This window comes from Homo sapiens, chromosome 10 (assembly GCF_000001405.40).
Source record: "Homo sapiens chromosome 10, GRCh38.p14 Primary Assembly".
Taxonomy (NCBI): domain Eukaryota; kingdom Metazoa; phylum Chordata; class Mammalia; order Primates; family Hominidae; genus Homo; species Homo sapiens.
In genome coordinates, this window is record NC_000010.11 from 67,671,283 (window position 1) to 67,695,643 (window position 24,361).

Sequence of the window (24,361 nt, forward strand, 5' to 3'; positions counted from 1 at the left end):
AGAGGAAGGATGACAGAGCAGAACTATAGAAAGAACTTGGGCCCTTGATGACATCCGTTATTAACTTCTTTTTTCTTAATTTTATTATTATTATACTTTAAGTTTTAGGGTACATGTGCACAATGTGCAGGTTTGTTACATGTCTATACATGTGCCATGTTGGTGTGCTGCACCCATTAACTCGTCATTTAGCATTAGGTATATCTCCTAATGCTATCCCTCCCCGCTCCCCCCACCCCACAACAGTCCCTGAAGTGTGATATTCCCCTTCCTGTGTCCAAGTGTTCTCATTGTTCAATTCCCACCTATGAGTGAGAACATGCGGTGTTTGGTTTTTTGTCCTTGCGATAGTTTGCTGAGAATGATGGTTTCCAGTTTCATCCATGTCCCTACAAAGGACATGAACTCATCATTTTTTATGGCTGCATAGTATTCCATGGTGTATATGTGCCACATTTTCTTAATCCAGTCTATCGTTGTTGGACATTTGGGTTGGTTCCAAGTCTTTGCTATTGTTAATAGTGCCACAATAAACATACGTGTGCATGTGTCTTTATAGCAGCATGATTTATAATCCTTTGGGTATATACCCAGTAATGGGATGGCTGGGTCAAATGGTATTTGTAGTTCTAGACCCCTGAGGAATCGCCACACTGACTTCCACAATGGTTGAACTAGTTTACAGTCCCACCAACAGTGTAAAATTGTTCCTATTTCTCCACATCCTCTCCAGCACCTGTTGTTTCCTGACTTTTTGATGATCGCCATTCTAACTGGTGTGAGATGGTATCTCATTGTGGTTTTGATTTGCATTTCTCTGATGGCCAGTGATGATGAGCATTTTTTCATGTGTCTTTGGCTGCATAAATGTCTTCTTTTGAGAAGTGTCTGTTCATATCCTTCGCCCACTTTTTGGTGGGGTTGTTTGTTTTTTTCTTGTAAATTTGTTTGAGTTCATTGTAGATTCTGGGTATTAGCCCTTTGTCAGATGAGTAGGTTGCGAAAATTTTCTCCCATTTTGTGGGTTGCCTGTTCACTCTGATGGTAGTTTCTTCTGCTGTGCAGAAGCTCTTGAGTTTAATTAGATCCCATTTGTCAATTTTGGCTTTTGTTGCCATTGCTTTTGGTGTTTTAGACATGAAGTCCTTGCCCATGCCTATGTCCTGAATGGTATCGCCTAGGTTTTCTTCTAGGGTTTTTATGGTTTTAGGTCTAACATGTAAGTCTTTAATCCATCTTGAATTAATTTTTGTATAAGGTGTAAGGAAGGGATCCAGTTTCAGCTTTCTACGTAGGGCTAGCCAGTTTTCCCAGCACCATTTATTAAAAAGGGTATCCTTTCCCCATTGCTTGTTTCTCTCAGGTTTGTCAAAGATCAGATGGTTGTAGATATGAGGCATTATTTCTGAGGGCTCTGTTCTGTTCCATTGGTCGATATCTCTGTTTTGGTACCAGTATCATGCTGTTTTGGTTACTGTAGCCTTGTAGTATAGTTTGAAGTCAGGTAGTGTGATGCCTCCAGCTTTGTTCTTTTGGCTTAGGATTGACTTGGCGATGCGGGCTCTTTTTTGGTTCCATATGAACTTTAAAGTAGTTTTTCCCAATTCTGTGAAGAAAGTCATTGGTAGCTTGATGGGGATGGCATTGAATCTATAAATTACCTTGGGCAGTATGGCCATTTTCACGATATTGATTCTTCCTACCCATGAGCATGGAATGTTCTTCCATTTGTTTGTGTCCTCTTTTATTTCATTGAGCAGTGGTTTGTAGTTCTCCTTGAAGAGGTCCTTCACATCCCTTGTAAGTTGGATTCCCAGGTATTTTATTCTCTTTGAAGCAATTGTGAATGGTAGTTCACTCATGATTTGGCTCTCTGTTTGTCTGTTATTGGTGTATAAGAATGCTTGTGATTTTTGTACATTGATTTTGTATCCTGAGACTTTGCTGAAGTTGCTTATCAGCTTAAGGAGATTTTGGGCTGAGACAATGGGGTTTTCTAGATATACAATCATGTCATCTGCAAACAGGGACAATTTGACTTCCTCTTTTCCTAATTGAATACCCTTTATTTCCTTCTCCTGCCTAATTGCCCTGGCCAGAACTTCCAACACTATGTTGAATAGGAGTGGTGAGAGAGGGCATCCCTGTCTTGTGCCAGTTTTCAAAGGGAATGCTTCCAGTGTTTGCCCATTCGGTATGATATTGGCTGTGGGTTTGTCATAGATAGCTCTTATTATTTTGAAATACGTCCCATCAATACCTAATTTATTGAGAGTTTTTAGCATGAAGGGTTGTTGAATTTTGTCAAAGGCCTTTTCTGCATCTATTGAGATAATCATGTGGTTTTTGTCTTTGGTTCTGTTTATATGCTGGATTACATTTATTGATTTGCGTATGTTGAACCAGCCTTGCATCCCAGGGATGAAGCCCACTTGATCAAACTAAATCTATTATATTAGTTAAGAACTCATTTTTATCACATAACAAGAAGTCTAGAGGTAAGAAGTTAATAACGGACGTCCGTTATTAACTTCTTACCTCTAGACTTCTTGTTATGTGATAAAAATGAGTTCTTAACTAATATAATAGATTTAGTTTGTTCCTTTATTTTCCATTGTGTAGCATTCTATCACATGCATTTATAAATATATTTTGTGTCCATATCACTAATCAAGCACGTTTCGGTAATAGCCAACTCTTTGCTGTAGGAGACAATGCTGTAATAAACATTCTCATACATGTCTCTTTGTGTGCCTATGCAAGAGTCCCTCTGGTGTATACATTCTGTTATGGGCTAAATTGTATCTCCTCAAAATTCCTGTGTTAAAGTCCTAAACCCTAGTACCTCACTCACGATATGACTGTATTTGGAGATAGGTCCGTTAAAGAGGTGATTAGGTTAAAATGAGGCTGTTAGGATGGGCCCTAATTCAGTCATACTGGTGTCCTTCTAAGAAGAGGAAATTAGGACATAGAGAAGAAAAGACATCAGGAATGTGCACATAGAGGGGCAACCATGTGAGAAAGGTGGTCATCTGCAAGCCAAGGAAAGAGGCCTCAGAAGAAACCAAACCTGCCAACACCTTGATCTTGGACTTATAGCCTCCAGAACTGTGAAAAAATAAATTTCTCTTGCTTAAAGATCCCAGTCTGTGGTATTTTACTCTGGCAGTCCTAGCAAACTAATACAATTCAGAAGTAGAATTTCTGGGTCAGAATGTGTGTTCAGTTTCAATAAGTATTGTCAAATTGGTCTCCAAAAAACACCACCAGCAGAGAATGTAGGTTCACATGTCCCCACCTCCTCACCAAAACAAGATATTACATGACATTTTAACTCCCATCAACATGGGACATGCAAAGGAGATATCACATCACTATTGTTTTGATTTGCACTTCTGATTACCAGTGTAAATGCTAATCTCTTTTTAGTTGATTAGTCAGCCATTCAAATATCCTTTCTATGAATTGCTTACTTGTATTCTTCACCTGTTTTTCTCCTAGGTTGCCTGTTCATTTCCTTACTGACTTCAAAGAATTCCCTATATATTGTAAATATAATCTTTTGTCAGTAATATTCCTTGAAAATATCCTCTCCCTGCTTCATATGTCCCTCTTTGTCTAGGATACCTTCCCTTGAACATTGTAACATCTGTATATGAAAGTTCCATTTTCTTCATATCCTTACACATTCTAGGTTATTGCCATACATTAATATCTACCAATTTAATGAGTAGATAAAGTATCCCATTGTTGTTTTAATGTGTCTTTACCCAGTAACTAGTGAAGAAAACTAAGTTTCTTTTGACTTATTTATGGGTCATTCTAGTTTTCTTTTCTGTGAATTACCTTTTCACATATCATTGACCCTATTGGATTGTTCGTTTTTTGATTATCTTTTCCTTATTAATTTTTTGGAGTTTTTAATAAAATCTTATGATAAATGACTTTTGTTAAATGATGTATGAGTCAACTATTTTGACAATAACACCATATAAAAAAAACTACCACTGAGGTTTAGAACTCAGTGGCCTAAGAAAACATTTATTATTTCTTGTGGATTTTCAGGTTGGCTAAAGATTGGCTAATTCAGAATGGACCTGGCTTAGCTTGCCCCAGGCTATAGTTTTGGGATCCAGATCTGCTCCACATTTTTCTCATCCTCCTTGGACAAGTAGGCCACTTGGAGCATATTCTTCTCATGAACAGAAACACAAGATGGGCAAATGGAAACATTGAGTACCTCTTAAGGTGAAGGCTCAAAGTTGGCACTCTGCCTTTTCTGCCCACATTCTAATGGGCAAAGCAAGTTATATGGCCAAGTCTAACTTTTCTGCCCACATTCCGACAGGCAAAACAAGTCATATGGCCAAGTCTAACATTAATGGAGCAGGGAAATACACTCTGCCTCTAGCAGGAGGAATTGCAAAGACACATGGCAAAGGGGATGGATATAGGGAGCAAGAGGATTGGGAAACAACAATGCAATCCACTTTATATGGATGAATGTAAACATACCCTGTCAACTGGTAGTTTTTGTTTCTTTTTATTGTTTTTTCAGTCTTTTAATTAATTAATTTTTGCATTAATGTAATAATTTCAGTTTTTTACTTTATGGCTATGTTTTGGGAGTCTTATTTAAGAAATTATGTCCTATCCTAAGATCATAAATATATTCTATATTTTCCTCTAGAATGCAATCATAGGGATCAATAACCAATATATTTTAAATTAGCATATGCCTAAATGTAAGATTATATCATATAAACTAAAGGCCGAGGCACCCAAGTTAAGTAATCAAAATTAAAAATATTTACCCAAGGATGGCTACTTATTTCAGGTTAATTTTTTAGCTTGGTCTTTAAAATATATTAATGATACAGGCTGGCAAAGAAGAGAAAGACCCAGGAATTATAAGAAATCACAAAACTTGATTGTCTTTTATAAACAGATCTTTATTAATCTAAGCAGTATAGGTATATTCAAAAATGCAAAGCACAAGAACACAGAAAAATATATACAATCTTCTGAGGTCATGCCACTGGAAAAGGAAAAAAGAAACTTTCACAGAACTGAACAATTATAAAATGATATATGTTATGATGTCATATTTGTAAAATATATGTGTATATGTGGTAATAGCAGGGTCCACTTCAATAGTTTTGGGTAAAAATGAGGTCATTACTATTAATTTTTCAAGCTAAAACCACTTCCCAATTGCCAGACTGGCAGGGAATCCAGTATCTCTCTTGTCTCTCAAATTGTTCAAAAACTCTGGGGGCATCTTCATTCACATGCCACAGAGAAAGAAAGGCAGAGAAGTGGATTAGAATACAAGTGGGCTTTGTTGAAGGATGCTGGTGCTCTGTTCCTGGTACACAGTTTACTGATGGAAGCTGACTCCCCATAGTTCAGTGAGACCCTTTCTCCTGCTGCACTCTAGCTGTTGCTGTGGATCCAGTGAGAGGCCACAATGATTTAAGACAAGCATACCATTCCGGCAAATGTATGGCACAGAACCCATGCCTTCAACGTTTTAATTTACCAAGCCTAGTGGCTGAGTCAGGAGGGCCTTCCAGTCAGTTACACATGTGCCAGAAACAAACACTTCTAGGGTAACATAGGCCACAAGGGGGGTTCTAGTTTAAGGGTCTTTGGTGTTCTTTCTCACTAGCAAATTTTAGTCAGTACTAATTTGATGCAGGGGTCAGAAGAACTCTTCCTAACAACAGATACATTGTAAAAGGAAAGAGTCCAGGTTTTCAGTCTTCTCCTGTTTGAAGGCTCCCAGATTCTACAAATTTCCTCCAGTCTCCCCAGTGTTGACCAGCCCTGCAGCTGAAACAAGACTAGAAAGGGCAAGCTTTCTCAAGTTAGAAAAAGACCCTTTTACGCTAGTATCTGAGACACAAAATGATAAGGATCTCATTAATGATTTCCAAACACTGGAGGAAAATTTTCCCTTACCTTAAGGTTCACAGATAAAATACAAAATGCCCACTTTGACTTTCAGATAAACAAAGAATAATTTTTTGGCATAAGTATGCCCTATGCAATATTTGGGACATACTTACACACGCACGCATGCACACACACATATGTGCTGTTTCCTTGGAATTTAAATCAAGAGTGTGTCCTGTATTTTTATTTACTAAATCTGGCCACTTTACCTTATCTACTTCATGAATTATAAACAAGGAAAAAGGGAGCTGAAACTCACTTGTGTCTAAATTTGCAACAACCTCACATCCCACCCATGTATCCTCACATCCTATCAAAGACTTGGGGCTGGCACAACCAATCAAAAAGTCAGCTTGCACCCCCTTACTTCAAAGAAGCTGCTTTTCAGGTAGCCAGGGGTGTTTCCTAGACACCTCCTAGCAATACATTTCTAACTACACTCAGCCAGAAGATTTTGAGTCGCAGAAATGCAGCACAGGATGAGAGGGGACAAGGAAAGAATGACATATTGTACTCTGGTATGAGAAAGCCCCAAAAGAGAAGGCAGACATAAGAAAAACACAGACAGAAGGGTGCTCTGGAGATTAGGTTTTATGTGTCTCTTTTAGAAAGGTGAATCGAATTGCTTCAGATTATCTAGGGTTAAATTCACCTCCAAGTAGAGGAACAAATAATAGGAGTAGGAGAAGAGTTGCCCCGATGCAAATGTACCTCCTGTAGCCCAGAAACTTAACAAGATACTTGTCCTTCACTTTAAGATTTGAGAGAATAATTCTGTAGAATCAAAACTAATACTGATTGAGCTCAAAGGCTACACATACCTCATTTCTGACAAACACCAGGACTAAATATAAATCTTATGTATTTCAAAAATAACAGAAAAAAACAAAATTTAAAAATCGTGTAACATAAAAGAGGAAGACACTTTCTTAAAGATGTAAGGGAAAATTATCACCAAGACAAAAGAAAATTTAGAATATATCTCTTCTGTGTTCTCAGTGAAATACCCAAAAATGTAAATTCTAGGAAAGAAGTGATGGAAAGGCTAAAAAGAAAAGAAAGTTGACTGAAGTGACAGGTCAAGATAAAAAGAGACCTGGCAAAGATTTAAACATCCAAGAATTTGGCAAAAGAAAAAGACAATGAAGTAATTAAAATCTGAATCATTCCTCTCCTTTATCTCCTGCCTCTCTACCAGCAGCTTCATCATTCAGAGGGCAAAAGAAGCAAAGAATGGAACTGCTACCCTGGATTTAATTATTACCAACAAAGAATGATACGTTAGGGAAGTGAAAGTGACAGGAACCTTGGGGAAAATTGAACATATCACCTTAGAGTTCATTACAGTAAAGAAAGAAAACACAAAGCAAAGTAAGACAAGTATCTTAGATTGCTTAGCAGTTGAGAGAAAATATAAGAATGTCCCAGAGCCACAGACTTTAAATGAAAAATAGGTCAAAAAACTTAAGCCATTACTACATCACACAGATGGTATACAAGGAGCCTTCTAAAGAGCTGAGATGTTTAAAGAACACACAAAAGAAGGAAGAAGGTAAAGGTTAGGATGAACACATCACTGTAGTATCAGTCTATTAGAAAAGTAGTGTAAACCTAGGATGAGCAAAGACTTAAACAACACAAAAACTTTTAAGGTTGTGTTTGATGATGGAAGTAGATAAAAAAGGTACAAGTCTCCTCCTCCCCCAGACAGATTTCATATTAACAAGTAATAGAGAGAAAGCAAAATAACAATATTTTTACTTTGCTTTCATCTTGTCTCCCAAGGAGAATGGTCTTTAAAATAAAAAGATTGTACCAACAATCTTGAGATGAAATTGATAAACGAGAAAGGAGAAAAGATAGTAAGAGAATGCTTAACAATTTAGATAAATGACCATTTCTGGGTATATTCCATTAAAGCAGGGTTTCTCATCTTCAGTGCTATTGACATTTGAGGCTGGATAACTCTTTATGGTTGGGGGCTTTCCTGTGTGTTGTAAAATGTTTAGCAGCATCCCTGGCTTCTACCCACTAGATGCCAAAAGAACCTGCCCCCTAGTTATGACAGCCAAAAATGTCTCCAGACATTGCCAAATGTCCTCTGAGAAGCAAAAGCACCCTGAGTTGAGAACCACTATTTTACAGAGCACTGAAAAACATGCACATATTATCACAGAATTCTTGCTGGCATTTGGCATACTAATGGAAAATGAGAGTGGTAACAGAATATTGGGAATTCACAAATGTTTTCCCATATATCAGAAAGGTAGAATTTAAAAAGTAAAACCAAATTCTATCTTGGTCTCTAGAAAAGTATCAAAATATTATTAATTAGAAAAGAGAACAATGATTTTTTGCTACATTGGTATAGGTTCATTAGGAGCCACTCATAGTAAACTAACTTAATTTTCTTCTCTTCCTTTTTTTAAAAAAATCATTGCTAAAAGATAAAATTGGTTTCACTCAAACATTTTTTAAATCTTTTGTGAAATTTTCTTTGCCAAGATAAAGAAATGTGAGCTATCTCATACACTGTTGGTCAAAGTGAATATTGGTAAAATCTCTTTGAAAAGCATTCTGGCAGTATCCACAAAATTTTATATGCACGAATTATTGAACAAAGTAATGCCACTTCTAGGGATCTGAACATACGAACAAAGATGTATATCACAAACTGCAGAATTGTTTGTAGCAACAAAAGGTAGAAACAACCTAAATGTGCATTAATAAGGGACTGGTTAAATAAATTGTCATATATTCTTTCATTGGTCTGACTTTTAATTATTATTAGTGGGTCAGAAAAGCCTTAAAAAATATATAGAATCTAATTGGATGTCAATTGAGTAACAGTAGGAGAGATATTAAAAATATTTAACAACCAGCATGGCTCAGGCCCCAAGCAATCAGAGCTTAGGCTGGAGCTGTCTTGGAAGCTTCATCCTGTGCCAAGTGTTTACCTTTCAGTTGCTGGGTCTAGGAAAGGTCCAGGGGGTCTCAAGCAGAGGCCAAGTGAAGGAAAATCACTGGTAAGGGTAAGGGAGAAGTACAAAAGCATTTCATATTTTAACAATTTGTATGCCTCACTAGGGACTATCAGTCCTCACTAACAGATAAAACATTAAAATAACTCAGAATAACATGGAGCAATAAATTGACTGAAATAGAACCCAGATTTCACCAATCAATCATGGCTTGGGTGAGATTTTAGAACGTCACAGGAATCAGATCCTTCTAGGAAAGCTGCGATGGGGCTTCCAGTGTCCAGCCCAAAAGCACCAAACGGTAGAAACCAGTACTTCTGTATCACTGTCCAATCTTCCCAGCTGCATTGTCTTTGTTTCTCTGGCTCTCATGGAGAATCTATGAACTACCTAATGTCATTTATGAAACTCTTGTTGCTTAAACCAGCTAAAGTAGACTTTAGTTATAATCAAAAACCCTGGCTAAGGTACCCTTTACTAAAATAAATATGCATATATAACTTTTTACTTTAAGAAAGTTAATTTTTATAAATGACTTTTTAAAAAAGATATGTGGACTGATTAGTTACAGATCTGAGGAAACACCTGGTTGAAGAAATAAATCCAAAAGAGCAGTATAGAGATCTAGATCCCAAAAGCCCATATGAATATTAGCTGTGTATCAACCACCGGAGGCACTTCTTAAAAATACAAATGTGGACCCAAATCAATGGCTCACTTTCTTACACATAATAACTAATTTTAAAATATGATGGAAGGAAAGAGACCGTTTATGATACCAATAAAAATTTTTTAAATACTGATATGAAAACAACTTTAAAACTCTACTGAGGGTTGTAAAAGAAGAATTAAGTATATTAAAAAGTGATGTATAGGCAAATTGAACATTACAGAAGTGTTAATTCTCCCTGTTAAATGTCCACAGACCACTTGAGAACTTGATAAAATGTTAAAATTCATCTAGAAATAAATATTATGTGATTACATCTAGGAAAATCCTGAAAGGACAGAAAAGAATATGGAGAAGGATTATTCCTTCCAGTTATTAAAACATATTATGAAATGAAGTTATTTTAAAAGTAGGGATTGGAAAAAATAGGAACAAATATTAATAGAACAGGAAAGACAGCTGAGAAATGGACTCCAATATAAACTTAGCTTATGATAAATACGGCTTTTCAAATTATCAGGAAAAAAGGTGATTCTTAAATAAATTATAATGATCAACTGAATAAACATTTAGGAGAAAAATTAAAAATAAAGCTTACTCCCTGCTCACTCTTTTGCCCAAATTCAATTCCAGATGTAGCAAGAATTTTAAAGTTCTGAAAGTATGAATATATAAGTTTATGTATAATAAATGTATAATAACTAAGTGGAAATTTTTATGTATAATACATTTTTAAAGTATGTATAATAAATTTATAATAATTAAGCAGAAAGCCCTTTCTAAGCAAAACTCAAAACCCAGAAGCTATAAAGGAAGAGGTTTAAAATTTTGACTACAAAAATATTTTGTTTTCTATATAATTCAAAAATAAAACAAAAGTCATAAAATAAACAACAAATTATGGGGAAATACCTGGAACATATTAAACAGGCAAAAAGCTAATTTGCTTAATTTACTATGGTGGGATAAAAAGAAGAACTCAGCCAGGCGTGGTGGCTCATGCCTGTAATCCCAGCACTTTGGGAGGTTGAGGGAGATGGATCACAAGGTCACAAGATCAAGACCATGCTGGCTAACACAGTAAAACCCCATCTCTACTAAAAACACAAAAAAATTAGCCAGGCGTGGTGGTGGGCACCCGTAATCGCAGCTACTCGGGAGGCTGAGGCAGGAGAATTGCTTGAACCCAGGAGGCAGAGGTTGCAGTGAGCCGAGATTGCGCCATTGCACTCCAACCTGGGTGACAAGAGCAAAACCCCGTCTCAAAAAAAAAAAAAAAAAATTTAGCCCAGCGTGGTGGTGGGCGCCTATAGTCCCAGCTACTTGGGAGGCTGAGGCAGGAGAATGGTGTGAACACACGAGGCGGAGCTTGCAGTGAGCTGAGATGGCACCACTGCACTCTAGCCTGGGTGACAGAGCGAGACTCTATCTCAAAAAAAAAAAAAGACTCAATAGAAAAAATTGGGCAAGTATTTGTAAAGGCAATTTATGTAAAAAGAAGGGCAATGGGTTAATAAGTACTTAGAAATTGTTCAACTATACTTATAATTAATTAAATGCAAATCAAATAAAACAAGATATTATTTTCACCAAGCAGCCAAAATTGAAAATTTTTGATATGGTATCATCAGTGCTGTTTAAGTGTTAGGAACATAAGCTCTTAGTATACACTGTTGAAGGGGTATAAACTGATATGAACTTCTTGAAGAGAAATATGACAATACATCTCAAATTATAAATTATGTGTACTCTTGAATATTTCCAATTAAATGTAATACTTATGAAATTTTAAAATAAACATTCCCATTGATACAGCAATTCCACTTCCATGAACGTATTCTAAGGATACACTCAAAAAGTACACCAGGATATATGAACAAGCATATTCATTGCACACAGCAACAGGACAAACAAACAACAAATACTGAAAACTACAAACATGTCCATCAATTCAGAATGGGCTAAATAAATTCTGCTACATACACAGAGTAAAACACGACAAAGCTGCTGGAAAGAATGAGGCAGGTCTATTAGAACTGCTATGCATCTGTCTTAACCAAATATAACTGTCTTAAGCGGGAAGAAGATACAAGATCAACCTGCATAACATTATGCCTTTTTTTTCTTGACCCAAATTAGGGTTCTGTCAATTAGCAAGCAGAGGAGAATACATGGATATTGCATAGGCAACCAACAGTGTCTATCACAGACTATTTGATTCTTAAGATTCCTTTGTAATCCCACATTGGGAAAATAGAAATTGCAGAGTCTAACAGAAAAGCAAGTTAATCCTGCAAATTCCCATGAAAACATGACCCATGAGCTTCAGCCCTGGACTAAGAACCCAGGATCTCTTCTGGTGAATCTCAGAGAAGTTGGTTTATGTATTACTCTGTCTTCACCCCCATCCACAAAAACACACACATTAGAAAGGAAACATCATGAGGACAGGGTCTATTTTTGGTTCACTGGTATTTATCTCCAGACTAAGAACTATGTCTGGCACACAAGTCATATAGAATGAATGAATGAATTCCAAACCAACATTAGAGTAGACCCAGTGTAGCCCTTCAGCAATCCTGCCTCTCAGTTATTCTGTGGGCTCCTCAATGAGCTAACTCTGGGCCTCTTTGAACTGATGCCACCCCTAGAGGCCTCATCAACTGAGAATTGGTAATTCATTTATTACCCAGTTAATTGTATACCTTCATCCCAATTCTCTGCCTTCATGCATATAGGTAAGAGTGTGTCCAGAATTGGTTCCTTCTGGTGGGTTCTTGATCTCACTGACTTCAAGAACGAAGCCACAGACACTCGTGGTGAGTGTTACCACTCTTAAAGATGTTGTGTCCAGAGTTTGTTCCTTTAGATGTGTCCAGAGTTTCTTCCTTCCGGTGGGTTCACGGTCTTGCTGACTTCAGGAGTGAAGCCACAGACCTTCTCAGTGAGTGTTACAGCTCTTAAAGGCGGCATATCCGGAGTGGTTTGTTCCTCCCGATGGGTTCACGGTCTCGCTCACGTCAGGAATGAAGCCGCAGACCCTCGTGGTGAGTATTACAGCTCATAAAGGTAATGCGAACCCAAAGAGTGAGCAACAGCAAAATTTATTGTGAAGAGCAAAAGAACAAAGCTTCCACAGCATGGAAGGGGACCTGAGCGGGTTGCCGCTGCTGGCTCAGGTGGCCAGCTTTTATTCCCTTATTTGGCCCCACCCACATCCTGCTGATTGGTCCATTTTACAGAGCGCTGATTGGTCCGTTTTACAGAGTGCTGATTGGTCCGTTTTTACAGAGTGCTGATTGGCACGTTTACAAACCTTTAGCTAGACACAGAGCACTGACTGGTGCGTTTTTACAGACTGCTGATTGGTGCATTTACAAACCTTTAGCTAGACACAGAGTGCTGATTGGTGCATTTTTGCAGAGTGCTGATTGGTGCATTTACACATCTTTAGCCAGACACAGAGCACTGATTTGTGCGTTTTTACAGAGTGCTGACTGGTGCGTTTACAAACCTTTAGCTAGACACAGAGTGCTGACTGATGCGTTTACAACCTTTAGCTAGACAGAAAATTCTCCAAGTCCCCACCCAACCCAGAAGCCCAGCCGGCTTCATCTCTCAATCCCCCCTCTAAACAGGACACCCCAACTGCTTTTGGGAATTGGGCGATGACCGCTCTAGCTACTTCCTGCTGGATAGGGGCAAAGAAGGGGCCTGCCCTGCAGTTCTAGTTTCCTCCAGAGGGGATCTCTTTAGGCCAGTGAAAGGGCCAGCGGGTCACTCCAGGGGTCCTCAGTAGAAGTTGTTAGTTGAGCTCATTTGGGGTTCCATTTGTAAGACCATCTGTAACTTGATGGCCTTGATTCTAGAGGAAACAAATTTGACGAAGAGGTTAAAAATACAGGGCCCGAAGGTGAGTAATAGCAAGATTGCTGTCATGGGACCTAGAAAAGGGAGAAGCCATGTTGCCCAACTCCAGAGGTTGGTATAAGAGTTTGAAAGGTGTTGTCTGATTTCAGAAGCCTTTTCCTGTAAACGCTGGGCGGCATCTTGTACTATCCCTGACTGGTTAGTGTAAAAGCAACACTCTTCCGCTAAGAAGGTGCAAAGTCCTCCTTTCTCAGCAGTGAGGAGGTCTAAGCCTCGGCAGTTTTGGAGAGTCACTGCTGCCGAAGAGTCTATTTGGGATTGTAGAGTAAGGATAGATTTTGTTATTTCTTGCAAACTGTCTGAGAAATCCTTTGAGAGTGTGTGGTAGTAGGATAATACATGTTACTCCGTTAACTTTTAGCAAACTTTACTTTTGTTGAAAACCTTGTAAGTTTGGGATTTTAATTATTCTTTGCTATTAATAAACCCTCGTTCAGTCCATATTAACTTAGAATTGGTATAGATGGCTCCTTCCTGATTCTGTAAGTACTTTAAGGTTTAGCTGAGTGCAAACAGCTTGCACATTTAAGCAGACCAATTATTAGGCAATTTTCCTAACTCTGCTTCTACAAGAGTTTCCTTATCACTTACTGAACACCCATTGTCTTTTTCCCTTAATCGCCCAGGAGGAACCATCTATCGTCCTGTCCTGAAGGGAGTTCCTCCTAGGTCTGGTTGGACCTTTGTATGGTAATTAATTATGATTTAGATCCCCTGTTAGGAAACTTGCTGTGTTAAGGATTTTAGATAGGAAGGCTATGGGTTGTCAGTGGCCTCAGTGCTTTCGGGCTACACCCTTGTTTACACTGACAACAAGGTGGTATTTGAGTGTTATAGGGTTACAGAGAAGACCTTCAATTATCAATTATAGGTTTTTAATTTACCCTGGCTTTTAAAGGAATAGGGTACACTGTTTTTTCTTTACTACTTCTATCTCTCTCTTTCTCCCTCTTTGATTTCTTCATCTGTCTGTCTCTTTCTCTCTGACTCCCTCTTTGTCTCTTCCTCTTTCCTTGTTTGACTTTCTGTCTCTCTGTATCTTCCTCTCTCTGTCTCTCTCTTTGACTCCTTCTTTGTCTCTGTCTCTTCCTCTGTCTCCTTCTCTTTGTCTATCTGTTTCTTCCTCTCTCTCTTTCCTTCTGTCTTTGACTTTGTCTCTCTCTTTCTTTCTCTCCATCTTTTCTCTCTGGTGGTTTTGGCAGTCTTATACTCCTTGGGTTTTTGCATTGTATGCAATAACTCCAGGGTTTCCTTGTGATATTTAATGGGGGTTCCCCCAGAGGTTAGGAACTCCCTTTCTTTCCATATTGCAGCATGGGCATGTAGGATTAGATAAGCATACTTGCTATCTGTATACACATTTATTCTTCTTCCCTTTCCCAGTTCTAAGGCTTGGGTAAGTGCCACTAGTTCTGCTAACTGGGTGCTGGTCCCTGGGGGAAGAGGCTTAGTTTCAAGTACTGTTACTATGGCATAACCTGCCCTTCGTATCCCATTCTCCACAAATGAACTTTCATCGGTATATAGGTTAAGGTCAGGATTAGCTAAGGGGACTTCTAAGAGATCATCTTGGGTGGCATAAGTCTGGACTATAACCTGTTGGTAGCCATGCTTGACCAGCTCCTCATCCTCTGGTAGAAAAGTGGCAGGGCTGAGGGCCACACATGTATGCACTTGAAGCACTGGTCCCTCAAGGAGTAGCGCCTGGTATCTAAGCAGGCGGTTGTCTGATAACCATAAACTTCCTTTGGCACCTAGTATGCCATTTACATTGTGAGTAGTCCAGACAGTGAGATCCTTTCCTTGTATTATTTTGATAGCCTCTGACACTAAGACAGCCACCGCCACAACTACCTGTAAACAGTGAGGCCAGACTTTTGCTACTATATCAATTTCCTTACTTAGGTATGTCACTGATTGTGGGGTTGTCCCATGAGTCTGAGTAAGGACCCCAAGAGCTATTCCTGCTCTCTTTGTGATGTATAAAGAAAAGTTTTGTCCTGTGGGAAGGCTTAAGGATGGACCTTGAGTTTGTTCCTTCCAATGCCCAGACTTCAGGGTTGATTCCCTCCTCAAGCAGGGGACAACAAATGGGTAACTTGTTCCCCATATTCATAGATAATAGCTCCAGCTTTGGCTAATATGTCCCTCCCTAATAAGGGTGTGGGACTTTCAGACACAACAAGAAAGGCATGTGAAAAGAGCAAAGTCTCCCAGTTACAACTGAGGAGGTGGGAGAAATACCTGGTTACAGGCCATCCCAGGATTCCTCAGATGGTAACGGACCTTGAGGACAGCTGTCCAGGACAGGAGATTAACACTGAGAAGGCCATGCCAGTGTCCAGGAGGAAATCAATTTCCTGGCCCTCAATGGTTAAACATACCCGGGGCTCAGTGAGGGTGATGACATGAGCTGGCACTTGCCCCGGGCATCCTCAGTCCTGTTGTTGGATCATCTGGTTGGGGGCTTCTGGCCCAGAGAACCATTGTACTCTGGGGCAGTGAGCCTTCCAGTGATTGCCTCCGCATAGTGGACATGGGTGAGGGAGCAGCTTATTTCTAGTAGGACAATCTTTTTTAAAGTGTCCTTGCAAACCATACTGAATACAAGCCCTACCAGGTGATTGACCTGCTCTATTTTCTGTCCTCTCTGAACCACCAAGGTTTGTTTGTCTGAGGGCCATGACTAAGGCTGTGGCCTTTCTCTGATCTTGCTTTTCTTTTTGGGCCTGTTTCTCTTGGTCCCTATTATAGAACACCGAGGTTGCCAGGTTTAATAATGCCTCCAGATTTTGTTCAGGGCGCAAGGCTCGCTTTTGGAGCTTTCTCCTGATATCTGTGGCTGATTAGGTAATAAACTTATCTTTTAGAATCAATTGACCCTCGAGTGGGTCGGGTGACAGGAGAGTATATTTTCTTAAGGCCTCCCATAGCTGTTCGAGGAAGGCAGAAGGATTTTCTTCCTTTCCCTGAGTTACGGTGGACATCATTGAATAATTCACAGGCTTTTTCCTAATTCTCCTTAGTCCTTCTAAAACACAGGTCAACAGATGTTTGCAACTCCAGTCCCCATGATCTGAGTCGAGGTCCCAGTGGGGATCCATACTGGGGATGGCTTGCTGACCAGTAGGGAATTTGCCCCTTTCTTCGACTGTCATTCTATCATTTACTTGACTAAGATACCAGGTATCTCCAAACTCTCGGGCTGCAACTAAAGCCACATTCTTTTCATTAAAGGCCAGAGTTTGACCTAATAGCATGATATCTCTCCAAGTGAGGTCAAAGGTTTGCCCTAGACCCTGTAAGACATCTATATACCTAACAGGATCATCTGAAAACTTCCCCAGATCTGCCTTGATCTGCTTTAAATCAGAGAGGGAGAAGGGGACATGTACCCGGGTTGGGCCAAATTCCCCTCCCCCTACAGCTTGAAGGGGACATAAATGATAGCTCAGGGGTTTTTGTGGTCCTTTGGAGATTTCTTTGTTTGTTTCCTTCTGGGTGGGGGAGATTAGAGGAGGCTTATCATTAATAGGAAGGGGAGCTATAGGGAGGCTAGGATATGGAGGTAAGCTGAGAGGTCCTCCTGTGGGATGTAAATTGCAAGTTTTGCATAGTTGTGTATTCTCCTTCAATGAAAAGAAAGCTTGGACATAAGGTATTTCACTCCATTTGCCTTCCTTCTTACAGAAAAAGTCAAGCTGCAGGATAGGATTGTACTTTATACTTCCTTCAGGTGGCCATCTTTCCCATCAGAGAGAGAATATTGGGGCCAGGCCATAGTGCAGAAAAAAGTTAGCTGCCTCTTTTTCAGGGTTTGCAGGTCAAATTGGTCCCAATGGCTTAGGATGCATTTCAAGGGTGAGCCTGTTGATGCCTGAGTGTTTCCCATCTGAAAGACAAAACCACCCTTGGTCTTGGTTTGTTTCTACCCCTCCCCAAGAACCCACAATAGTCCCTGGACCCTGCTGATTGGAATAGTTGCACTTACTGATGCAGCAACAGAAACACCTCTTGCCCAAGAACCCGCAACGGTCCCTGGACCCTGCTGATCAGAATAGTTGTGCTCACCGACGCAGCATCAGAAACACTAGTTTTCCTCTTAGACCAAAAAGAGGACCGAGGAAGGTCAGATTTAGTGGCCCTTACTGATGCATTCTCAAAAACCTGCATTCTTGCCTGTCCTCTTAGACCACAAAGAGGACCAAGAAAAATTGGATTTAGTGGCCCTTACCGATGCATTCTCAAAAAGCTGTTAGAGTCCTAAGCATTATCCTGTTAGTATTGGGACCTTACCACTGTCCTATAAAGATGTTATGCCCCAAAAATGAACTGGACGGACATACCCTGAGAGAGGGAAAGGATCTCCAGAGTTGGAAGAGTGATGCTTTTTGTCCTCACTTATATGAATAGGAAAGATACCATTTCCGAAGCTCCCCATATCCTAGCTTCAGGAATAGCTTTTGTTAGGCCTGCTTGTCTGAAGAGGGATCCTAAAATTCCAGATAGTCCCTTGCCCAGATGGGACTTTGGGCAAAAATTATGTCTTTCTGATTGGTGAGCCCGGGTGCCTAAAGAAGGTAAAAGAGTCCTGAAGTTTATACTAGAAATCATTCTTATAGGAGAAACTAGAAAAGCACCAGAGACAGGGAGTGCTTTTTAGAAGTGGACTAGCCTCAGAGAAGAGAGGCGAGAGGAAGTTTGTCTGACAGGCATTAGGACCCAGGAGGCAAGGGTCAGGAGATAGGATAGATGGGCAAGTCTCGCTTGGGTGACATGATTTTGAGAGTTCCACTCATGGCCGCAGGGTCAACCAACTTGTTGTTGGGACCCCGGAGCTGAATGGCTTTCCTCTCTGTCAACCCTCGGCTCAGCCTGGAAGTACCATTAAAGTGGAAGCTGGCTCCAGGCAAACCAACATTCCCAACTCCATAGAGTCAGGGATTGTTAGAGAGCCCTATCCCAGAAAGCCTGGCACCTGTGTCTTTAGTCCAGCGGCCGCGCTAGTTGCTTTTAGCTGACCGACAGGTGCCCAGTATTTACCCCCAGAATTCTAAGGAAAAACAGGACAGAATAGCAAGCAAAAGGGGTCTGATGGTACTCATCACTTGGCAATAGGCGAGAGTCCCATCTGGGTTGCCAAAATGTGTCCAGAATTGGTTGCTTCTGGTGGGTTCTTGGTCTCGCTGACTTCAAGAATGAAGCCGCAGACCCCACGGTGACTGTTACCACTCTTAAAGATGGTGTGTCTGGAGTTTATTCCTTCAGATGTTCATATGTGTCCGGAGTTACTCCCTTCCGGTGGGTTCGTGGTCTTGCTGACTTCAGGAGTGAAGCCACAGACCTTCACAGTGAGTGTTACGGCTCTTAAAGGCAGCACGTCTGGAGTTGTTTGTTCCTCCCAGTGGGTTCATGATCTGGCTGACTTCAGGAATGAAGCCACAGACCCTCACGGTGAGTGTTACAGCTCATAAAGGTAGTGCGGACCCAAAGAGTGAGCAGCAGCAAGATTTATTATGAAGAGTGAAAGAACAAAGCTTCCACAGTGTGGAAGGGGACCCGAGCAGGTTGCCACTGCTGGCTCAGGTAGCCAGCTTTTATTCTCTTATTTGGCCCCCACCATGTCCTGCTGATTGGTCCATTTTACAGAGTGCTGATTGGTCCATTTTACAGAGTGACTGGTTCTGTTTTTACAGAGTCCTGATTGGTGCATTTACAAACCTTTAGCTAGACACAGAGCGCTGATTGGTGCATTTTTGCAGAGTGCTGATTGGTGCGTTTACAAACCTTTAGCTAGACTAGACACAGAGCACTGATTGGTGCATTTACAATCCCTTAGCTATTCAGAAAAGTTCTCCAAGTCCCCACCTGACCCTGAAGCCTAGCCAGCTTCACCTCTCAAGAGGAGATAAATGTTTATACAGTGTAACTTAAGCAACGCTACTCAAACTGCAGGTCTGCGATGAGAAAAGGAGCTTGTACCAGAATGTAAGTTAATGAGTGCTTCCTTCATCTAGAAAGTCTTGCTACAGCCTCTCCCTCTCCCTCTCCGTCTCTGTCTCCCTCTCCCCACGGTCTCCCTCTCCCTCTCTTTCCACGGTCTCCCTCTGATGCCGAGCCGAAGCTGGACGGTACTGCTGCCATCTCGGCTCACTGCAACCTCCCTGCCTGATTCTCCTGCCTCAGCCTGCCGAGTGCCTGCGATTGCAGGCGCGCGCCGCCACGCCTGACTGGTTTTCGTATTTTTTTGGTGGAGACGGGGTTTCACTGTGTCGGCCGGGCTGGTCTCCAGCTCCCAACCACGAGTGATCCACCAGCCTCGGCCTCCCAAGGTGCTGGGATTGCAGATGGAGTCTCGTTCACTCAGTGCTCAATGGTGCCCAGGCTGGAGTGCAGTGGCATGATCTCGGCTCACTACAACCTCCACCTCCCAGCAGCCTGCCTTGGCCTCCCAAAGTGCCGAGATTGCAGCCTCTGCCTGGCCACCACCCCGTCTGGGAAGTGAGGAGCATCTCCGCCTGGCCGCCCATCATCTGGGATGTGAGGAGCCCCTCTGCCTGGCTGCCCAGTCTGGAAAGTGAGGAGCGTCTCTGCCTGGCCGCCATCCCATCTAGGAAGTGAGGAGCGCCTCTTCCCGGCCACCATCACATCTGGGAAGTGAGGAGCGTCTCTGCCCGGCCGCCCATCGTCTGAGATGTGGGGAGCACCTCTGCCCTGCCGCCCCGTCCGGGATGTGAGGAGCGTCTCTGCCCGGTCGCCCCGTCTGAGAAGTGAGGAGACCCTCTGCCTGGCAACCGCCCCGTCTGAGAAGTGAGGAGCCCCTCCGCCCGGCAGCCGCCCCATCTGAGAAGTGAGGAGCCCCTCCACCCAGCAGCCACCCCGTCTGGGAAGTGAGGAGTGTCTCCGCCCGGCAGCCACCTCGTCCGGGAGGGAGGTGGGGGGGTCAGCCCCCCGCCTGGCCAGCCGCCCCGTCCAGGAGGTGAGGGGCGCCTCTGCCCGGCCGCCCCTACTGGGAAGTGAGGAGCCCCTCTGCCTGGCCAGCTGCCCCGTCCGGGAGGGAGGTGGGGGGGTCAGCCCCCCGCCCGGCCAGCCACCCCGTCCGGGAGGGAGGGAGGTAGGGGGGTCAGCCCCCCACCCGGCCAGCCGCCCCATCCGGGAAGTGAGGGGCGCCTCTGCCCGGCCGCCCCTACTGGGAAGTGAGGAGCCCCTCTGCCCGGCCAGCCGCCCCGTCCGGGAGGGAGGTGGGGGGGTCAGCCCCCCGCCCGGCCAGCTGCCCCCTCCGGGAGGGAGGTGGGGGGTCAGCCCCCTGCCCGGCCAGCCGCCCCCTCTGGGAGGTGAGGGGTGCCTCTGCCCGGCCGCCCCTACTGGGAAGTGAGGAGCCCCTCTGCCCGGCCACCACCCCGTCTGGGAGGTGTACCCAACAGCTCATTGAGAACGGGCCATGATGACAATGGCGGTTTTGTGGAATAGAAAGGGGGGAAAGGTGGGGGAAAGATTGAGAAATCGGATGGTTGCCGTGTCTGTGTAGAAAGAGGTAGACATGGGAGACTTTTCATTTTGTTCTGTACTAAGAAAAATTCTTCTGCCTTGGGATCCTGTTGATCTGTGACCTTACCCCCAACCCTGTGCTCTCTGAAACATGTGCTGTATCCACTCAGGGTTGAATGGATTAAGGGCGGTGCAAGATGTGCTTTGTTAAACAGATGCTTGAAGGCAGCATGCTCCTTAAGAGTCATCACCACTCCCTAATCTCAAGTACCCAGGGACACAAACACTGCGGAAGGCCGCAGGGTCCTCTGCCTAGGAAAACCAGAGACCTTTGTTCACTTGTTTATCTGCTGACCTTCCCTCCACTATTGTCCTGTGACCCTGCCAAATCCCCCTCTGCGAGAAACACCCAAGAATGATCAATAAAAAAAAAAAAAAAAAAAAAAGTCTTGCTACAAAGTGCTTAGGGTGTAGCTGATTTACTTTCAGGCACAAGCCTCTTATCTCGTTTCATAGATTAGTTAAAAATTGGGAACTTCTAATTACATTTTGAACAGTGCTAATTTAAAGTAGGGGCCTCCATTGTTCAAGTTCCAGTATTTGAGAGACTTTCTTTGCACTAAACATTGCCTTCTCCTTCAAATCAATTTCCCCATTGCCAGGAGGCATCTGAAGCAGAAAATCATCCTGGTTAGGATAATGAAAGGCAAAGAAAAGAGGTGGGGAGGGTGCCAAATAAACTTGACCTAATCTTCCATTTTGCACACAGGAACTCAAAGTCACCTATCATATGCTAGAAGCTAGTGATTAAATTGGTTACAGATTACTCGCTGAATCCCAGGCAAAAATAATGTGGTTAAAAACAGTATTTAAGCATGTGAAAAATCAGATGTATCGGCTAACAGTCCTGTTCACCTTCAAAAATTCTGCAGCCTCAATTATCTGTCACTTTCCATTAGATTTGCAACTTTGCTAAACTCCGGAGTTCCACCCCGCTGTACCATCTCACTTAAAATCCAGTATCCAAACAAGAATCAGAAAATCACACTTTTTAAATCTCTAGACTAGCATTCCCATGAGCCAATGATCCATAAATAAACACTATTTTCAAGTTTTCATTACAAAGCGCATAATTTCTCTTCAGGCCAGTTTGGGTTGCCAACTTCTCTTCTTAAATCTTAATCCCTTCTATTCCAAAAAAAATAGAAACATGCAAACAGAAGTTCATGGGGAATAGAGAATGAAACTCCCATCCTTCTGTAGCTATGGTTTTTCTCTAAATATTATTACTGAATAATAAAAACTTCACAATTTAAAAAGTTTTTTAATACAGGAAGAATATATTATTTGATAATTCATAACTCTACCTCTCACTTCACACCACATAATATTGATATCTCTAATCTCTCCACTTTGATTACTTGGGACCAGTAACCACTTCCAATAATTAGTTGTATTTATCACTAATTCCTTAGCTTTCTTCCTTCTACTCTATTTACACAACATGGTTCTCAAACTCAACAATGACAGAATTAAAACTTATCTTCTCTGACTCCTACCATAGCCACGCCTAATTCCATTCTCATGTTTTCCCTATAGAAAAACCCAATACTGAATTGCTCCTCTAGCATGTGCCCTCTATCCCTTTTCTTTCTAGTCTGTTGCCTACAGATTTTCTCCAAATACTTCTAATTTCTCCAAAGATTCACAATAAGTAAAGAATTTATTCTTCCTATTCCTATTTCTTTGTCACAGTTGTATCATAAAAGTCATATAAATCACTATGTCTACATGGTCTTCTAATAAAGTTACTTATACATTCTGTTATTTTCATGTGCAAAGTAACGTAAGTGATCAACAATACTATCTATCGGTTTCAGGCAGAGCTGAAGTATTTTCAACTCTGACATGTAGCTTTGTTGATATCTGTAAAAGTTTATTGAGTGGAAATTTTGTAGGTAGGAGAGATTCCATCCTTCTAAACACTAAGTATTTTGGTATCTATGTGCCTGATAACAATGTTTTGCACATCATAGACAATAAATATATCATTTGGTAGACTAGGAATTTTACAATGCTTTAAAAGAATAACAGTAAAAACACATCTTAAATATCACAACTTTTACCTTCAAACATAGTGTTCTCTAATCCAACACTTCTACAGTTAGAAACAGAGATTAAGGAAATTATCTTAAACATATCTACAACATACATATACACATAAGTAAATAAATACACAAAGATGTTTACCATAGCATCTAGATGTTCAGCAATGATTAATAAAATTATATTCATTCACTTGAACAAATGTTACACAAATTTAAAATAACACCACTGTAGAATAGGTAATATTCTGTGGAAAATGTTTTGGTATATGGTTAAATGAAAAAGCAAGGTTCCAAATTTTATCTATACTATTATTGCAATTATTTTTAAAGCCATCTAGAAAAAAAAAGACTAGAAGGAAACACATCAATGAAATTACAGGAAATATTTTTCTGTGCTTTCAAAATTCCTACGATGAACATTTAATGCTTTTATAATGAAAAAAAGTTTTACCAATCTTTACTCAAATAGGAAGATTTAGACTATGTGTAGGAGGTAACAAATGGGAATAACTTTGTCTATACTGTCTGTATTTTAGGTTTCTCCATTTAACAAACTTGTCCTATGGTTCTACTGAGATAATTTTTTATAATGGACAATGAAATTTTAATAGCACACTCAAATATGCCATTCAAATCTGACCATGGATAATCTGAATCTTCAAATCACAACTATTCTCAATATGTTGAGCTTTCAATCTGTCTAAAAAGCTAGCCACAAACCCAGAACCAATGCAAACTTGAAATCCTGCTTTTTCCACTTTGTTTTAAGCAAATCATTGCATTCTCACGTTATCTCCAGAGATCTTAGTAGGCACATATCAGTGACTCAAAACCTCTACAGTAAATGAACTTTCTGATGTCTAACCCCAATTTCTTCTTGTTTCCATTTGAACTCATTTCTTTTATTTGTCTTCCGTGTAACTGACAGCAGCTGCTCACAATCATTCAGATCCCATTAGATAGTGACCTTTTCTTTACATGATTGATCATTACATCTCATGATCATTCCATACAGTGATTTTCATTTGACTATAACTGGTCATCAAACAGTTCTGAGAGCATTCCTCAACCTCTTAATATTCCTTCCAATTATAAAACAAATAGACATTAAATTCAGAAATTAATGCTTTTTGCCATTATCTCACTTGAAACATCTTCCATTTACTATGAATTAGCTTTTGGTTGAAAGTAAAATCCCTTCAAACATATTCCATCTTTGCTTC

General features: G+C 41.0%; 1 protein-coding gene across 4 annotated transcripts in view, besides 2 other annotated features; it reads right to left on the reverse strand.

Moving 5' to 3' along the window:
* CTNNA3 (catenin alpha 3) overlaps window positions 1–24,361 on the reverse strand; it is a 1,851,072-nt gene that overhangs the window by 1,758,760 nt on the left and 67,951 nt on the right. The gene's annotated exons all lie outside the window — the stretch shown is intronic.
* Window positions 18,843–19,012: an enhancer, noted in NCBI's record as "experimental_15994 CRE fragment used in MPRA reporter constructs". NCBI's record gives its function as "activates a minimal promoter by MPRAs in K562 erythroleukemia cells, with activity observed for the non-introgressed 10:69449968 or rs117044537 variant allele {active_cell/tissue: K562}" and the evidence as "EXISTENCE:reporter gene assay evidence [ECO:0000049][PMID:34662402]".
* Window position 18,928: a transcriptional cis regulatory region, noted in NCBI's record as "Neanderthal adaptively introgressed variant 10:69449968 (GRCh37/hg19 assembly coordinates) or rs117044537 in the experimental_15994 CRE". NCBI's record gives its function as "modulates activity of the experimental_15994 enhancer by MPRAs in K562 erythroleukemia cells {active_cell/tissue: K562}" and the evidence as "EXISTENCE:reporter gene assay evidence [ECO:0000049][PMID:34662402]".